At 36.7% G+C, this 19,301-nt stretch overlaps 1 protein-coding gene across 2 annotated transcripts in view, besides 1 other annotated feature; it reads left to right on the top strand.

Annotated features, from left to right (window-relative positions):
- Nucleotides 1–19,301, top strand: part of RELN (reelin) — a 517,870-nt gene that overhangs the window by 122,605 nt on the left and 375,964 nt on the right. The window lies entirely within an intron of this gene.
- Nucleotides 9,338–9,632: a silencer, noted in NCBI's record as "tiled region #1232; K562 Repressive non-DNase unmatched - State 12:CtcfO". NCBI's record gives its function as "represses a minimal TATA promoter and a strong SV40 promoter by Sharpr-MPRA in K562 cells {active_cell/tissue: K562}" and the evidence as "EXISTENCE:reporter gene assay evidence [ECO:0000049][PMID:27701403]".

Raw genomic sequence — 19,301 nt, 5'->3', positions numbered from 1 at the left:
TCTCATTTTTGGTTAGGGTTACTTAATTTTAAACAGTACAGCTACATTTTACATATCTCCTGGTGTTTAATCCTTGAAACGTATTGATCTGTTAGGGCAGTAAATAGGATAGCTAATGATTGCTTGTCTAATTAATTAACAAAGCACTGTCTAATTCTGTGTCTCTAGAGTATGTATGTCAGGGTAGGAGCAGACTGTGTAGCTGTGATAGAGGGCAGACAGGATGATCCACTGGATGATGTAAAGAAAATATTAGAACTTCTACCTATATATTATTCGTTATTTCATCCTTTGAGGATTTCTAATTTGGGGTATGTTTATAATGCACACAATGGTACAGTAATTAGTGCATTATTTTGTAAAATAAAGACATCTTGGGATACATGTTATAAAAATCTTTCTGATAGGGATGCCTATCAGAAATATAGGTGTTCTAATTACAACACCTATTCTTTTGATTTAAATTACAAAAATAAAAATAACCATTTAGTTATTTATTTTGATTACCTAAATGATTTACTGGGGTCCAAATCATGTCAGGAGCACAATCACAAATATCTAGTTTTCAGAAAATATAATTAACCATGCAGTTAAAAAATTGGGTTACCAAAGCTATATCCATCCCTAAAGAGAAGCCAGCTCATGCTTGCTGTCAAACATACCCGAAAGCAAGTCCTCAAACTGCACCTTAGCTTGGTTTGGGAGAACCAGAAAGGCAAAGCAAATCTGTTTTGATATGTTTTTCTCAACTTTAACCTGGGTTTTTGTTGTTGTTGTATTAAAGCTGTAGTGCTCTTTTATATATGGTGAAATTGTCTTTATTCTTTGCTTAGTAATAGGCTGGGAAGCTTATCACATTTCCAGCACTAGTTCAAAGACAGAAACTATTTTATTTTTTAAAAGAATTATTTTAAAATAATAATTCTTGCTTTTGTTATGGCTGTCAGCTTGCAAATCATTTTAACTGGCATTATCCCATTTGATCCATGTAACATACTGTCAATAAAATATTAGTAATAATCTCATTTTGCAGATAAACTGAACTCAAGTGGTTAGGTACATTGATCAAGGTTCCATGGCTTTCAAATATCAGATTTAGGTGTTATATCAAAGTACCTTAACTATAAGTGCAGGGTTTCCCACACTTTGCCTTTCACAATAAATACTTTCTGTACTGTGTTGAATAGAAGAGGTGAGAGTGGGCATCCTTACCTTGTTCCCGATCTTAGAGCAAAAGCTTTCTGGTTTTCACCATTGAGTATGATGTTAGTTATGGGCTTTTTATATGTTGCCTTTATTGTATTGAGGTAAATTCCTTCTGTACGTAGTTTTTTGAGAGTTTTTATCATGAAAGAATTTCGGATTTTGTCATGCTTTTTCTGCATCTATCGTGATGATCACGTGATTTTCATCCTTCATTCTGTTAATGTGGTATATCACATCAGTTGATTTGTGTTTGTTGGAACTATCCTTGCCACCCCAAAATAAATCCCACTTGATCATGGAATATGGTCCTGTATGAGCTGTTGAATTTTGTTTCTTAGCATTTTGTTTTAGGATTGTTGCATTTATGTTCATTAGGGATATTGGCCTGTAGTTTTCTTTTAGTGTAATACTTTTTCATCTAGCTTTGGTATCGAGGTAATGCTGGCCTCATAAAATGAGTTTGGAAGTATCCCTTCAATTTATTGCAAGAATTTAAGAAAGATTGATATTACTTCTTTTTAAACGTTTGGTAGAATTCACCAGTGAATCCATCTGGTCCTGTGATTTTCTTCATTGTGAAATTTTTTAATTACTGGCTCAATTTTCTTTTCATTATTGGTTCTGTTCAAATTTCCTATTTTTTCATGATTCAATCGTGGTAGCTTGTATGTTTCTAAGAATTTCTTTCTTTCTTTTTTTTTTTTTTTTTTTTTTTGAGACAGTTTCCCTCTTGTTGGCCAGTTTGGAGTACAATGGCATGACCTCGGCTCATTGCCACCTCTGCCTTCCAGGTTCAACAAACAATTCTCCTACCTCAGCCTCCCCAGTAGCTGGGATTACAGGTGCCTGCCACCATGCCTGGCTAATTTTTATATTTTTAGTAGAGACGGGATTTCACAGAATTTATTTCTTTTGGGTTACTCAGTGTGTTGGTGTATAATTGTTCATAATAGTCTCTTACCGTTTCATTTCTGTGGCATCAATTGTAATGACTCCTCTTTCATTTCCAATTTTTTTTAACCTTCTCTTTTTCTTAGTCTGGCTAAGGGTTTGTCCATTTTACTTATTTTTAAAAGCCAAACTCAGTTTTGTTGTTTTTTTCTATTGTTTTTCTATTTTCTATTTCTGCTCCAATCCTTATTTTCTACCTTCTGCTAACTTTAGCCTTAGTTTGCCCTTTTTCTAGTTCCTTAAGGTATAAAGTTAGGTTGCTTATTTAAGGAAATCCTGTCATTTGTGACAACACAGATGGACCTGGAGGACTTCGTGCAAAGTGAAATGAACCAGTCACAGAAGGACAAATACTGCATGAATCCACTTCTGTGCAGGATCTAAAAATGTCAAACTCACAGAAGCGGAGAATAGAATGGTGGTTGCCAGGTGCCAGGAGGAGGGGGAAACGGTTGCTGTTCAAGAGGTATAAAGTTTTAGTTATACAAGGTGAGTAACTTCTAGAGGTGTGCTGCACAGCATTGTACAACTTGCAGTTAACAGCACTGCACTGGGCACTTAAAATTTTGTTAAAGAGGGTGGACCTCGTATTAAGTGTTCTTACTACAATTAAAAAAAACAGTTATTAACTTTTTCAAGATACCACATACATGTAGGTCTGAGATGACACTAGCTGTGTGAACTTGGGCTAGTCGCTTAAAGTTGCATTATAGGTGTGTTTAAGTTATGAGATTTCAATTACGGTTGACAGAGACAGAAGAGTAAAAAGTAAATGATGTGAGTGATCCTATCTACCTGCCCATCTAGAGAGCACACACTTCTGAGTGAAGTTGAAAAGCAAGATGTGAATCTGCTGTTCCTTCAGTTTGTCTGAGTTCTCACATGGCTCCAGTAGTGTGAGCATCCCCAGGCTGGGTGTAACTTTATTGTTTAAAGTGTATTATTTAAAGTCCATTTGTTTTGTGCAACATGTCATCTTCCTGAAAGCCTGCTACCTAATCTGGTGCTCAGCCAACAAAACAGTGATTTCTTCCAGTGCTGCAAAACTTAGAGGATTTTTTTCTAAAAAAAAAAAAATTGATTGCAAAGGATTTATCTCATGTGAAATTTAAGATGTTATTCCATCGTATGGTCTTGGAGTGAAACTTCCTCATCTGTAGAATGGGGCTAATAATGTCCATTTTACTAATCTCAGAGGAGATTTAGGTTAGGAAATGTCCTGAATGCACCTGGGGTCCTTTGGATGCCCTCTCTTTCAGCCCCATTCCAAAGCTTTTTATAAAATTCTTCCTCAAAGCTCTAAGGGTTAGTGTCCTGTGAAGATGTGGTTAAGAAAACTGATGTGAAGATGTGGTTAAGAAAACTGATGTGAGGCTGTTTAAAAAACTACTCCCATTGCAGGGATACAGGATTTTTGGAATAGCAGCCTGGGCCTTGGAGACCTGCATTCCAGTTTGTTCTCTCTCACTAATGACCTCTGTGTCCTTGGACAAATCACTTCATGTTTCTGGGCCTTAATTTCCTTACCTGTAAAAGGTGGAGATTAGGTCAGATGCTTCCAGGGCCCTTTCCAGCTCTAACATTCTATGATTCTTTCATATGGTTCATGTGTCAAAAATGTCTTTTGAAGATACTATAATGATTATAATTATTCCTCTTGCTTTTATGCGTCATGTCTCTTTTAGATTCATAAGCATCTTGACACCTTCACTCAAAATGATCCACCTCTTTTTATCAGAGTTGCCAAGCTGATCATTGCTGGTGGCGCACATTGTTGCTTATTCGTTTCAGTCTCTCTTGATGAGCTTTATTGTCTTAATAGTAGATGACTGAGTTCTTAAAGCTTTTCTTCCTTTTGCCCTCTTGGTGTTTGGCCTGTTTCAGCGCTCTAGCTGCCTAGCCTGTTGGACATTCTGACCCCCAGTAACTGTTGAGATGAACTTGAATAGATGGTCACTCTTCAATATGTGGCTCTCCCTAAGTAATCCTTACATTCTTCTACCGAGAGAACAGCCACGTCCATTCTCTGATTTCCTGCCTATTTTGCAACAAATCAAGTGTTTTTACCAACCTTTAGACCATCTGCTCCTGTCACCCAACTGCTGGAAGACAGTGTCCTGGCTGCCAATGGACATCCAAGGCTTAGATTTCTGTTCTTTCTCAGCTTTCTGTTTCAATACATTTGACTTTAGAGAAGACTTTGTGGCATGAAATTAAATTTTTTTATTTCAGTAGAAATGTAATGAAGACCCATCATATGACATGCACTGGAGATACGAGTGGGAACCATCAGAGAACCTGAAAGGTGAAAACACTAAAAGAGAAATGGGGAAAAAATAAGATAAAGAGGCATGAGAGTGAAAGGAACAGAGAGACAGGGGTGGGAAGAACATGGGGTGAGACAGCCAGAGAGGGAGAAAGATTGAGAAGATAGATAGATAGATAGATAGATAGATAGATAGATAGATAGATAGATAGATAGATAGAACAAAAGCATAAATGGAAGAGACTAGTTCTATAATAGGATGGCCAATACCAAAATTACAAATTAATTTTCAGCTACAGCTGCCTTTTATCCACCTGAAGACTATGAACATCTATCAACTGCAATCACATACAAATACTCAGATAATGCTGCAATATTTCAACTTTACTGGCAGTCAAGCACTTTCAGATCCATATACTGAAAGGTCAGCCATTCTGTACTACCTGAATAATCTTAGCTTTTTCCTTCTTTAATTAGAAAATTTATACTTGTTTTATTTCACTCTCCTCGGATTTCCTACATCTTGACCTTATCCAAGAGAGGTTGGAGTTATGACCACAGTGAGCTGTAACTGATGGGCAGCCACCAAATTCATTCATAAGCCCTCCACTGGCAAAGCTTCACCTTATTTTTGCATACTTCTATGTTTTTATTTTTAATTTCTTCCTCTCTTCTGCTTCTTTTTAGCTTACAAACATCCTCCAAAGACCAAAACCAAAAAATAAACCCTGTAGTTGATCTTACATTGCCTTAAGACTATCATCATGCCTCCCAGCTTTCCTTCATCACCAAACTTTATGTAAAAATACTACACTTAGTAATTTCACTTCCTCATCTTCTACTCCCCACTTCATAACTTATTATAAAGCTTTCTTTTGTCCATCATACTATTGATTTTACTTTCATAAAAGTCAACAGTGACATTCTATGAGCCAAATCCAATGACCTATTTTTGATTTCTCACCTTTCTGGGTCTCTTCGCAATATGTGACACTGTTGGCAACTTCCTGTATGTGGAACTTCTCTTTTTGCTTTGGAATGTAAACAGGTTTTTCCTTTTGGTGAGCAGGAGTTTCCCTGATTCAAAATGGCCAGCCTTACTGCAGCAACTACATGTTACCTAGTATATAGTCAGGCAGCGTGCCACTCTCTAAAATATACCTATTACTGAGACACCTAAAATTTACCTATTTCCAAATATTGTGATTCATAGCATAGGCTCTGCCAACCTTTAGGCTTTTTGAAGTCCCACCTCTTCCCTTCCCATCCCCAAACTGATAATAATGCAATAATTTGTAGTATGTTGCATTCTTTCCTCATTTTGAACCCCAAGAGCCTATTAGTATACCAGGGATTTGAGACAATTATTTTTTTAAAAAACTTGAATAATATTTGTAGTTGCTTGAGATAAGATTTCACAGAGAATTGAAAGTGTAGTTTAACACCAACTTCTAGGAATCTTAGTACCTTCAATGATAATAACTGTGTATATCAGAAAAAAAGAAACTATTATTTTAAAAGTCCCTCCTCACTTTATGCAAGGAGAAGAGAATACATCCTACTCTGTCATTACTTTAGCATTTGTAAATTGGCAATTATCTTCTGTCTTGTGCTTTAATATTGTTTGTCCTCAACTAGGATATAAGATTTTTGTTGTTATTTTTGTTATATTTGTTATTTTTGCATTTTATATACATATTCCTGTTATTAAATTTTACAATGCTAAAAACATGGTAGTTATCCTCAAGGTGTCATGAACTTTTCATAGCAAAGTTATGTTGATTACTTGGAGGAAGTTGACCAGAAGTCAGCAAGTCATTTATCTTTTTAATGATGATGATGATGATGATAATACATTGCTAAGTTTTAGTTTTTCTCATAGAACTCTTTTTGATATTTTTGTTTTAGAATTATAATTGGGGCCGGGTGCGGTGGCTCATGCCTGTAATCCCAGCACTTTGGGAGGCCGAGACAGGTGGATCTTGGGAAGAGATGTGTACAATCAGCTTTCTCTAGCCAATATAAGCCACGTCTGCCATACTGCTGCTGCTATTTCACAGAGTTGCAGTGAGGATTTTTTTAAAATCCAAGTTATATAGTAAGCATCAATAAACGTAGTTCTAATTTTATTATTATTTTTAGCCTAATGAAACTACCTCCTCACTTGAGAGAGTTCTTCAACAAGTCCTCATTACACATTTTTCTGCATCTAAACATTCAGGTTTCAGTACTATCAAAGGAACAATAAAGCAGCGTGATCTCATTTACTGCCTTATTCCATATAATAATTGGCTTGCTACATATTATAATTAAAACAAAAACTTAATACCTTAATCCCTTAGGGAATATAGTAAAAAAGTGTTAAAATATTTGCCTCACAGAATTCATGATATGATGAATATTAAGTGTTTTGAGAGTTGAGTATAAAGTTATTTTGGATTTTTGTTTTGTCATCATTAATTACCAACTTCTATTGATAGAAACATCTGGGAATATTAAGAATTTCCATTGATATTTGTGATATAATGAACAACGTATGACTGATTTAATTTATTGTGGCTAAGCTCGCATGTTTAACGCCAATAAAAGAAGTAATTGTACTACATGCCTTTAGAGGATAGAGCTTAATGGTTTACTTACATAGGGTTGATATTTTGTTCATGGGGATTTGAGGAATGTTAATTGTTGTCATTGTGAACATGTTTTTTTAATGAAGTCATCTTGGTGTCTTACATTGGATATCTTCTTTTATCTGTGTAATCTCAGTGATAGCCAAACAAATCTTGAAACCTTTCTTACTGTGTTCTATGCTCCACTTACTCACATTTTTAAAAACTTGCTAAACATTTGATATGAAAACAAAGTTAGGCTTGGAACTCTATAATTTGTGAAGAAAAGTTCAAGTGCCATAAAGTTGTTTCACTATGGGGAATGCAATGAAATTGGATATAGTGTGTGCCATGTTGTTAAAAACCCAATTAATATTCTATTTATATTATCTTTAATCAAATCTTCGTAAGATTAAATATGAAACCTTTGGCCGGGTGCCGTGGCTCACGCCTATAATCCCAGCACTTTGGGAGGTCAAAGTGGGCGGATCACGAGGTCAGGAGATCGAGACCATCCTGGCTAACACAGTGAAACCCTGTCTCTACTAAAAATACAAAAAATTAGCCAGGCGTGGTGGTGGGTGCCTGTAGTCCCAGCTACTCAGGAGGCTGAGGCAGGATAATCACTTGAACCTGGGAGGTGGAGGTTTCACTGAGCAGAGATCGCACCACTGCACTCCAGCCTGAGCAACAGAGTGAGACTCTGTCCCAAAACAAATAAATAAATAAAATAAATATGAAACCTTTGAAGATTCCAAATGTGCCAGGTGTTATCATGGTGACACTGAAGTGTCCATTCTTTGACTGGTATTAATATTAGAATTCTGCACACACTTGAGAAATTCCCAAAACATACATATTTTTCTTATTAAAGCTAATCTGATAATGTATGTATTATTCTCTACTTCTTTCTCCCCAGTCACCTGACCTGTTTATTTTTACCACTTCAGTTTTAAAGTGAAAAGGAGCAAGTATTTGCTACATTCTCCAATGACTGTTCACAGTCATGAAGAGCTGAAAATATGGAATTGAGGTCTTTCACCTCCAGTCTTCTTCTTTCTCTGTTCTCTAGGCAAGCCTGTGTTTGCATCTTCATTAAGTATAGTAAAATGTACAGGAGTTTTTTGTTGTTGTTGTTCCTGTAGGGCTATTCATTTCTAAGGCCAGCTAGATATAAAAGACTCAATTCATTGGTAACTAAAATTTGTATCACATTGTCCACATTTGCTATAATGAAAAATGAAAGCTGTTAGAGCACCGCTACTACACCATGGAAGCGTCTTTGCATTTTGTGTGTTCAAGCCTGAGTAATCAAGGTGATGAAATAGGGATGTACAGTAAAGGATGCACTAATGACAGTGTTGGTGCAGGTCAGAAAGGAAAGGCTCATGTAAATAAGCTAAGTATTATATGCCATATTGTTTTAATGATGTTTAGGATTCATAATATATTCTTCCAACTGCAAAACAAAAGCAAAGCCTCTAATAGTTCCATGAAAATTATCTTATTTCTAAATGCTTCTAACTCCTAGCCCCCATTACAAGCCATCAGAGTATTTGGCTTGGTTACTCAAATTTTATAATATTATATTTGTTAATAATACAACTACCATGTCAAAGGTGAACAGACAGTATATTGAATTATAGTAGCTAACATTTACTGGGCACTTACTATGTGCCAGGTACTATACTAAGAGTTTTGCTTATACTGACTTATTTAACCCTCCCAGTGATTCTAAAAACCAGGTATTGTTATAATCCCATTTTGTAGATGAGGAAACAGAAGCCTAGAGAGTTTAAGAAATCTGACCAAGGCCACCCAGCTAGGAAGTGGTAGAGGCAGGATTCGAGCCCAAGCTGCCGAGTGCCAGCCCTGTTGTACTTAACCATTACACTACACTGCGTCCTGTAGAGACTATTGAACAAACTAGACACTATATACATGTATACATTTATTCAGATGCCATAGTTAACTTCTGGTGACATAGAAGGGGATTTGAAGATTTCAAAAAAAAAGAAACCATTGAAGAGGGTAGTTTTATAAAACATTACTATGTTGTAAATAGGATAAAAATATCAGTGAAGTTATATCTAGAGAGAAATGTAAAAAATTAACCAAAACCCTCTGCAAAGTCTTAAAGATGTGGCTTTTTTCCCCCAATTCCTTCCCTGCTGACTTATTTTCATGGAGTAGGACAACTGATTAGCATATTTTATTTCTGTTGTTCATGCCAAGCCTGTTTACCACGACTGGATTTGCCTGATTGGTGGTGTTTAGTGCAGTGCTTGGCGGTCCTCTAAGGAGCACTTAGATGTCAGCTGTAAATCATCTGCTCAGCCTCCCTGACTGTGAGCTCCATAGCTCCCACCTGGTGCACTGGGCACAAGCATCCACATACTCACCATATGCAGGCAGATTCATACTCAGCCTCTGGGGGCAACACTGCAAATTAGAAGGTGAATTCGCAGCTCTCTGGGCAGGCCCTTACGTGTGCATATCCTGTTCCTTGTAATTGGAATTGTGTTTGCAAATCCCTCTACACCCAGGTGAGGTTGTATTACACCCCTGCATGTTGGATGGAGAAGAAAACACAGTCTGCTTAAAAGAGGGCAATTCAACTTCCTCTAAAAACTGGAGACTATGGGTGAGCTTTTTGCAACCACAGCCTTTCAAGGAATGTGATTGCAATCACAATACTGCTATGGTGCTCTCCTCATTTCTTAAAAACATTCATAAAATTTATATTCAATGATAGCTTAGATAGAGGTCTTCCCTAGCTATGCAGTAAGTCTTTAGAAAGAGATCTTGATGTTGCCTCTTGTGACATGTTTCTAAGAAACTACATTGTTATAATGCAGACCTAATCTCTGCTTGGCATATGAGCAGATGATATAAGCAGACAATAACATATGTTGCAAGAGAGGGGTAATGCAGTTAATTGAGTTGGCAAGTAACCAACTAGGATAGTTTTTACTAATAACCTTTGCTAGGTACAGTTACTTCCTCCTATTTGAAAGCCTTTAAATGACAAATTTAATGATCATTATATTGTAAATGTTTATATGTTCTTTCAGAGTTTACCTTAGCCAGTGATTTTTCAATATATATATTTTAAAGTATGGGTGATGATGGGTTAGAACAGGAACATATTCAAATTAAAAGTACATAAATCGACAAATATATAATTATGCATGCATGATAAAAAAATTTGCTAATAGAAGAATCTAGTAAAAAATATTTGGCCACCAAATACAAAGTTCCAGTTAAATGGAAGGAGGAATAAGTGTCCTGCAGCACTGGTCTCTCTTTAAAGGCACAGACATGCTTAATTGAAAAAGCCATGCTTACTCCTATATACGATTTCCAATTGCAAAGCTAGAATTTTTTTCTAGATATTTTTGTCAACATATTTGCTTTTTTCTTTCTTTCTTTCTTTTTTTTTTTTTTTTTTTGAGGTGGAGTTTGACTCTTGTTGCCCAGGCTGGAGTTCAATGGGGCAATCTTGGATCACTGCAATCTCCGCTTCCTGGGTTCAAGCAATTCTCCTGCCTCAGCCTCCCAAGTAGCTGGGATTACAGGCATGCACCACCACAGATGGCTAATTTTTTGTATTTAGTAGGGATGGAGTTTCACCATGTTGGTCAGGCTTGTCTTGAACTCAGGTGATCCACCTGCCTCAGCCCCCCAAAGTGCTGGGATTACAGGTGTGAGCCACCGCGCCCAGCCCATATTTGCTTTGTGATGTAAATTTCCCTCCCACTGCTGCTGTCTATTCTTCCAGTTTGCCCCTCCCCCGTTTTATGTGGCATTATATTCTATTATACCTTGTATTTTAGGCAAGTTTGAATGGTAAAATCAAACAGTATTTAGGAAATGAGTTATCCTTATTTGATAGCATCTTCATAAGGAATAGCCCTTCTACCCAACTCTGATTCACAGAACACCGTTCATGCTTTCACTGTCAAACTCTTATTTTTCTGAATAGGAACACTGCAGTTCCTTGGGTTCTTCTTCATTCCCTTGAGGCATATTGTGGGTTGACTTGTATCTCCACAAAATGCTGTGTTGAAGTCCTGACCCCTAGTACTTCATAGTGAGACCTTAATTGAAAACAGGGTCATTGCAGATATAATTAGTTAAGTGAAGATGAGGTTATACTGGAGTAGGGTGGCCTCCTAATCCAATGTGATTGATGTCATATTGGATACAGAGATACAGGGAGAATGCCATGTTAAGATGGAGAAGCTCAGGAATGCCTGAGGCTGCCAGAAGCTAGGAGAGAGGCTCAGGACAGATCCTCTCTCAGGACCTTCAGAAAGAGCTAACCCTGTTGACACCTTGATGTTGGACTCCTAGACTCCAGAACTGTGAGACAATACATTTATGTTGCTTTAAGCCGCTCACTTTATAATAAGTTGTTACAGAAAACTAATAAATGGCATAAAGCAAGGAATTCAAATCAAAATCCTTTCTGCCTCTCTTCTTAATAATAGAATCCTTGCCCTTCTCATGCCTTGCCTGGCCTCTTGCAGGGATCTTCCAGGCATGTTCCTTGGTGCTCTCTTGGTCTGCACCCATCCATTTTAGATGCCACTACTATTTTACTTTCTTACACACATACACACATTTCCAGTGGTCACTTCCCATTGTGTCTGCAGTGGCACACATTCTTTAGTGACGCAAGTGATGGCCTCCCATTCTGACTTCACTTGCCTTTCCAGTGTTTTCCACAGTGTGCTGCCTGTGCACACCACTGTATTTCGGCCACATCACTCTTCCTGTTAGTTCTCTGGATGGGAACAGCACTTTTCCGCTTCAAGCATGCTGTTCCCTTTGCAACAAACTTCCCAAGAGAATTTTACTCTTTCTTTCAAGACCTGTTTCAAATGCTGCTATAATAGAGTCTGTACACCAGATACTCTACATTCAAATTATATTATACATTCAATTCTGTACATTCATTTTGATATATTCATTTGATACATTCATTTGATTCTATACATTTAAATGCTGCTATACATTAATTCTCCCTCTTAAGCAGTTGCATTTGCCATCTCTTTGGTCTCACAAAATAATTCATACTTCTTTTATGAAACTTACAATAGTGTTCTTTGCATTATTGATGTTTGTGCACTAATCTTTCATTGTCTTCAGCCCTCAGGGCATCTTTAGCCCTTTTTGGCAGAAATCCGGAATCTTCAGGCTAGATTACAATTCCACAACAGATGAGAGAGACACATTCTGCCAAGTTCAGGTGGATGTGTTCCTCCTGACACGTTCTTTGTTCCCTTGAAGGGTACCGCAGTAGACTCAAATCAAGGCCTTTTGTATTCTTATTCCCATCACTGTTATACTTGGTATCTCCTTTCTGACCACAAGAGGATAAATTAAGAATCTGATGGTTCCCTCATCTCAGAAAGTCACAAGGGAGATGATATTTTTTCATACTAAGTCTCTTAATCCCTTAATTCATCCCTGACCTGATGAAGTCTCTAAAGCAATTGTAGCCATTTGTTTCAAGATTTTGTGTACTTTATTATATGTATGTTATACCTCAATAAAAATATTTTAAAAAAGCAATCAGAAAAAAGAAGAAAGACTACCAGCAAAGAGATGACAGCTAGATTAGCAGCCTACATTTGATCAGAAACAAAAAAAGTTCAGAATGTAATTCAATCGTGACTTTAAAGTACAAGGGAAAATAAACATCAACTCAGTCTTTTACCTAACCAAACGATTATTTATGAGTAATGGTGACTAAAGTCATTTTCATACCAGGACTAAAATAACCTCTAAAATATGTGCTTCAGCAAGGACTACAACAGATGAATCGATAAAAGCAAACAGGTTGGTGAATCTACATAAGCATTAACTTTAGAAAATAATGAATTTTTCCTTTTATTTTTAGTTGACACATAATAATTGTGTATATTTGTGAGATACAGAGTGACATTTCGATACATATATACACTGTGTAGTGATCTAATTGGGGTAATTCACATATCCATCACCTTAAACATTTATCATTTATTTGTGTTGTGAACATTCAAAATCCCTTCTTCTAGCTTTTTGAAAATATACATTAAATTATTGTTAACCATACTCACCCAACTGTGCTACAGGACACTTATTCCTCCCACTTAGCTGTAACTTTGTATTTGGTAGCCATTTTTTACTGGGTTCCTCTATTAGTAAACTTTTTTATCATGCATGTATAATTACATATTTGTCTATTAACTTTTAATCTACAAATTATATAATAAACTCATGTTCTAACATATTTTGTATATTATGAGACATATAAATTTGACATTAAAATATAAAAATTCTCATATTTTATTCCCAACTATAGGTAGAGGTATATAAATGAATTTAAAAAAAAAATTATTTGCTGTTCTTTTCAATTAGAAACTGTAGGTGAAATAATTCCAAATTTAAAAATAAATTTGTTTCTCTTGAATAATACAAACTGGAAATGATGTCAGGTTTGCCAATAATGTAAGAAGCAATTTTTGATTACAAATTCACATGAAAGATAATATTTTCTACATAAAGCCTAAAAGAAGCCATATGGTAGAAATATACTCATTCAGATTGATGCTTGGAATGATAGAATTTGAATGAAAAAGCAATATTGAAGGGTTCACATCATCACCTGTGATTTATTAAAAATAAATGAAAGCTACAGGGGAGAAACAAAATTAAATTTACATTTTAACAAATAACCCAAATTTTTAAGAATCTTTTCTTTGTGATCTTTCAAGTGAATGTGTATTCAAATAATCTCAATGTCATTTTTTAGTCAATCCAACATGCTCTGCCTAACTTCAAGTTAATAGATTATAGCAATTTTTAGAGAGCTGAGTTTGTCTATTTTCCCCGCAATCTATTTTAAATATGAGGGAACTTCAGAATTTCTGAGACTACATTTGTAATCACTTAGCCTCAAGGGGTATGAAACAATCAGTTTTCTGATCCAAATTATTCAAATTATTGCCTCAGTGGAGTGTGAATTTTAATAAAACTTAAGTGAAAGTAGTAGTATACATCATGTGAAAAATAATTCTTTTAAAAAGATTTGTCTTTTTAAAAAGTATTGTTATTTGTCTTGTCTAGGCACTATTGGAATTAGAAGAACTGCAAACATGATGAAATATATTTTATCATCAGAATTAATTAACTGTTGATGTTTTCTTATGGTACATAATCTGCTACCAATATATAATAAAGTTCTTGAAATAATTGTAATATGATACACATTTGAACTCTAATTTTTTGGTATTATATGTGATTTAATGTTATTTAATTTATTCTATTTAAAAACAAACAAACAACAACAACAACAACAAAAACAAAGGTGAGTTACTGAATGAAGTTTCTTTGCCAGAAAAGAAAGGTCATTGATTTTGTCAGTCATTAAGGACATAGATAGAAATTTAGGGCTCCTAAAAAGTTTTAGCAATATAGTAATAGTCAACATTTACATAGTACTTTCTATGTGCTAGACACTTTACATACATTGATTATGTAACCCAGTGAAGTGTTGTCTTCTATATTTCATATGTGAGAAAAGAGAAGCATGGAGAGTTTACATATAATTTACCAAAGGACATAGCTAGTATATGACAGAAATGGATGTGAACACAGGTAATTTGTCTCCACAATCTTTGTTCTTGACTACTACTATACAGCTTACATTCATTACAGTTTTTCTTTGACTGTTGTAAAAAAATAGTTTGTTCTGTTTGAGGGTATGAAATATCATGGAGAAGAGAAAAACAGAAGTCTATTCATTAGTTTAGCAATTGGGTGATGATCATTGGTGATGATCTTCAAAATCACTAGGACCAAAACACTTCTCCCAAGAAACTTATAATTTAGTAAAGTAAGTAGAAGTAAATGGACTATGACAAGTGTTATATTAAAAGGGTGTATTAATCAGGTAAGTTCCATCTTGCTGTGGTAACAAATTAACTCCCAAATCTCAGCTTAACTCAACAATCTTACATAGTAGTCCTTTATACAGGGACTCAGCAGTCTAACTATTTCCATATTGTGGCTGTGCCATCTCAGCATGTGGCCTCTGTTATCATCAAGACAAAGGAATAAAGAACACAGAGGGCTCACATTTTCTGTTCCGTGTTTCAACTAGGGAATAGTATACTTCATTTCTGCTAATATCCGATTGAATAATGCCTACTTGAACTGCAAAGGAGCTGGATAATGTGTAGGAGCATACAGCTATTTGGTGAGCAATTAATGCCTTCCCCAAGAGGTATGTATGTTGCCTGGAAAAGAATGGGCGTTGGGCAATAATTAGTTAGGATCCTACAGGAAGTTGACTGAAGAGTGGCAGAAAAAGCATTGATACGGGCTGGTGAAGGTAATTGAGGAATTGAAAACAATTAAGTTTCTGGGCACCCCACAGGAAGAAGCTGTAGCAAAGACTTCAGTACTACGGAGAGCTCCTTCCATTTACATTGCTTGCTTGCATATAACGTAAATTGTTTTTCTGTTTTGGGGGGATTTATTTATTTTTCCATAAATTAATGGGGTACAAGTGGTATTTTGTTACATGAGTAAGTTCTTTAGTGGTGATGTGTGAGATTTTGGTGCAGCCATCACCTGAGAAGTATACATTGCACCATATTTGTAGTGTTTTATCCCTTACCTCCTCCCACTCTTCCCCCCAAGTCCCCAAAGTCCATTGTATCATTCTTATGCCTTTGCATCCTCATAGCTTAGCTCCCGCATATCAGTGAAAACATACGATGTTTGGTTTTTCCATTCCTGAGTTACTTCAGTTAGAATAATAGTTTCCAACCTCACCCAGGTCACTGCAAATGCTGTTAGTTCATTCCTTATTATGGCTGCATAGTATTCCATCATATATATATGTACATCACCATTTCTTTATCCTGTCATTGACGGATGGGCATTTGGGTTGGTTCCACGATTTTGCAATGTGAATTGTTCTGCAATAAATACGCCTGTGCAAGTATCTTTTTCGAATGACTTCTTTTCCTCTGGTAGATACCCAGTTGTGGGATTGCTGGATCAAATGGCAGTTCTACTTTTAGTCCCTTAAGGAATCTCTGCACTGTTTTCCATAGTGGCTATACTAGTTTACTTTCCCACCAGCAGTGTAGAAGCATTCCCTGTACACTGCATCCATACCCACATCTACTGTGTTTTGATTTTTTTATTTTGGCCATTCTTGCAGGAGTAAGGTGGTATCACATTGTGGTTTTGATTTGCATTTCCCTGATCATTAGTGATGTTGAGCATTTTTTCATATGTTTGTTGGCCATTTGTATATCTTCTTTTGAGAAATGCCTTCCAGCTGCGAAAGAAAGAGGTTTTAGTTCTTCCCCCGTCTGTGAAGTCTGCATGCCTGATTTGTGCCCTCCCCTGAGTTCTGGCCAGGAGGCTTCTCGCCCCATTCAAATTGCTACAAAGTTCAGCTAGAGAATTCCTTCTCCCTGTGGAGTTTTACCTTCTGCTCCTCTGGCTACCCTCTCGATGGATCCCTGTGGTGCCAGGCAGGAATGGGCCGCCTGGCAACCCAGCGAGCTCCCAGGGCTTTTCTGCTGCTTCCCCTACCTCTGGATTTCACTTGACTTGGCATTTTAACTTGACTCAGCTCTAGGTAAAGTTGGAAACTTCTCCCGCAAACAGACCTTCAGCTTCTCCAATGGGGGCCTATGTTAGGGAGAGGAGGGTCTCCCTTTGCCACTTCCACAGTTGGGGCACTCACAGTATTTGGGGTGTCTCCTGGGTCCTGCAGGAGCAGTCTGCTTCCTTCAGAGCATCTGTGGGTCCTCTCATATAAATTGTAATGTCTTTTCAACAAAGTTTATTCCATTGACATTTGTTATGAACCTATGATATATTTTGTGGATAGAAAAAGTCATAACACATAACCATCATTGGGAAGATAAAACCCTCTGTAATGCAATTGGTATGTTCAATGATAGAACCATTCACTTGGTATTATGAAATTATGGAGATGTTCCTAACATTAATCTTGGGTACAGGAAGGAGTTGCATAGGAAAATTTCTTGAAAGAGATGATTTATGATTTCATATGTTTTATTAAGTGATAAGTAGGAGTTTTGCCATAACAGAGAGAAAGAAGACAGTTTTGGTCAGGAGTTGAAAAACTTTTTCCGTAAATGGCCAGATAGTAAATATTTTAGGCTTTTCAGGATATATGTGGTAGGTCTCTGTTGCATATTCTTTGTGTTTTACAAATTTTTAAGATGTAAAACCATCTTTACCTCAAGGGCTGTAAAATGTAGGTTGTGGCCCAGGTTTGACATGTGGTCCATAGTTCACTGACTCCAGTTCTATGCAGGGAGAGTAGTAGCAAAAAGAGAGACATGTACTTACAACTATATACAGTCTCATCTTGACAGAGTATGAAGTTTGAAGAAGGGTCATGATAGATAAGCCCAGAGATGTAGGTAGGGGATACGCAGGGTGTCACATTGAGGAAATTTAGACCTACATCTATAAATATGAGTATCAGTAGAATGAGAAAATCATATTTGCATTTTAGAAAGATGGCTGTGTTGAGAATTTCCCTGAGGAAACAAAACTGAACTCAAAGAGGAAGCTGTTGGCAGTGGTCAAAAAGGAGGTAATGAAAGCCTGAAATAATGCAGTGGTGAGAAGGATAGGCAAGAGAAGACTCTGTTGAAAAAAATCTTAAGATATAATAAGAAAGACCTGGTGATCGGTTGACCGGAGTGGGGAAAGTAATCAATAATGACTCCTTGTTGATTGATTGAGTAGGAAAAGTAGTCAATAATTACTCCCAGACATGATAGCATTGCTTTGACTGAGATTACAAATATTATGCAAACTAATTAATGTTCATTATTTAGCAGGAACTGTGACTGTTAAAAGGATCTGACATTTAGTCCATAATGCCATCATCTGGGGTCAGACAGCACTGTCACATCTTCTGACATGATGTGACCCTGTCACACCTGGTAGGCTGTGGGAAGTCTGTTAGGCTGTCCCAGGTAGGGTATGGGGAACTTTTGCTGCTGTTCATCAAGTAGATTGACTGTGATAAACAATATCTTCCCATTGCAGAATGCTCATTCAAGGTAAGGGGTGAGGTACACAAAGTGTAGGTTCTTGGAAATGGTCCTAAAGGCCATAATTTTTAAAAACTATCAGTTATTTTAGCTACTTTTGGATCAAGAAGTCCAAAATTTTGTAGATTTTGAACTTGCCCTCTGTAATGGGCATGTACCATCCATGATTGCCCAACATTTTTATATAGTTTCCCACATTGTGAGTATAGTCTTCCCAAAATACAATTCCCATAGTTCCTTCCTTTCTGGGGTGAAGGCGTGTCACCTAGTTTACACCTATCAGACTCAGCCTCATGAGACTGGATATTGAAGAGTGCAATGTGACCTGGGGACCCAGTATGGCGAGATCAGTATTCTATCAAGTGAAGATTCTTATTTTGGAGGAATAACTGCGGTGAAAGTTCTGTTGATTCGGGGGGAAGTAGCTGTTGTTTTTATGTTGGACCTGTCCCATGGTGGGGTGGACATGACTCTTTGCTGGGCAACACCCAAGTTTACTTCTCCAGGCCTCCCAGAAAAGCTATATGTCTTAAAATCCCCTCAATTAGGTTATATTCTGTGCTTTCCAACTGAAAATGTCAATAGCTGTACCCAGGGCTTCAATTCATTAAATGTTGAAATTTTATTTGCAGAATTAAAGAATATATCTCAGTGCTGTGTTTCTCCTGCTCTCAAACAAAATTTCCATTTAAACAGGTAAATGATCTGGAGATCACCCACGCTGAGCATGAAACCCTAGTAGAAGTGATGAACAAGAGGCGTGGTAACCCTTGTCTAACTCCAGAAAGCCTCTGTATGTAGAAACAGGATCTGATTATTTTAACTGTACCTCCAGATTGGCTGACCTAAAAGAATTATCCCTAGCAATGTTATATCTAAATAACCTGTGACTGCTGCCATATACAAACAGCTCCAGGTAGAAATGTTTTATCAAATATTTTATTCTTTGTCTTTTCTTTTCTTTGCTAAATGAAACTAACGGCAACATGCTGGCTACCTGTCCAGAACTATATTCTGCCTTAACACCTGGTTCCTGCTCCTGTGACCTGCTCTCTTGTGTGTTTAATTCACAACCCAACTTCCAGTTTAGGAGTCAGATTTTACACATATGCAGGCCACAGAAACTCAAAGAAGAGGAGGCTTTAGAGATATAAATACAAG

Source organism: Homo sapiens, chromosome 7 (genome assembly GCF_000001405.40).
Source record: "Homo sapiens chromosome 7, GRCh38.p14 Primary Assembly".
Lineage (NCBI taxonomy): Eukaryota > Metazoa > Chordata > Mammalia > Primates > Hominidae > Homo > Homo sapiens.
This window is presented reverse-complemented; position numbering and strand designations above follow the sequence as displayed.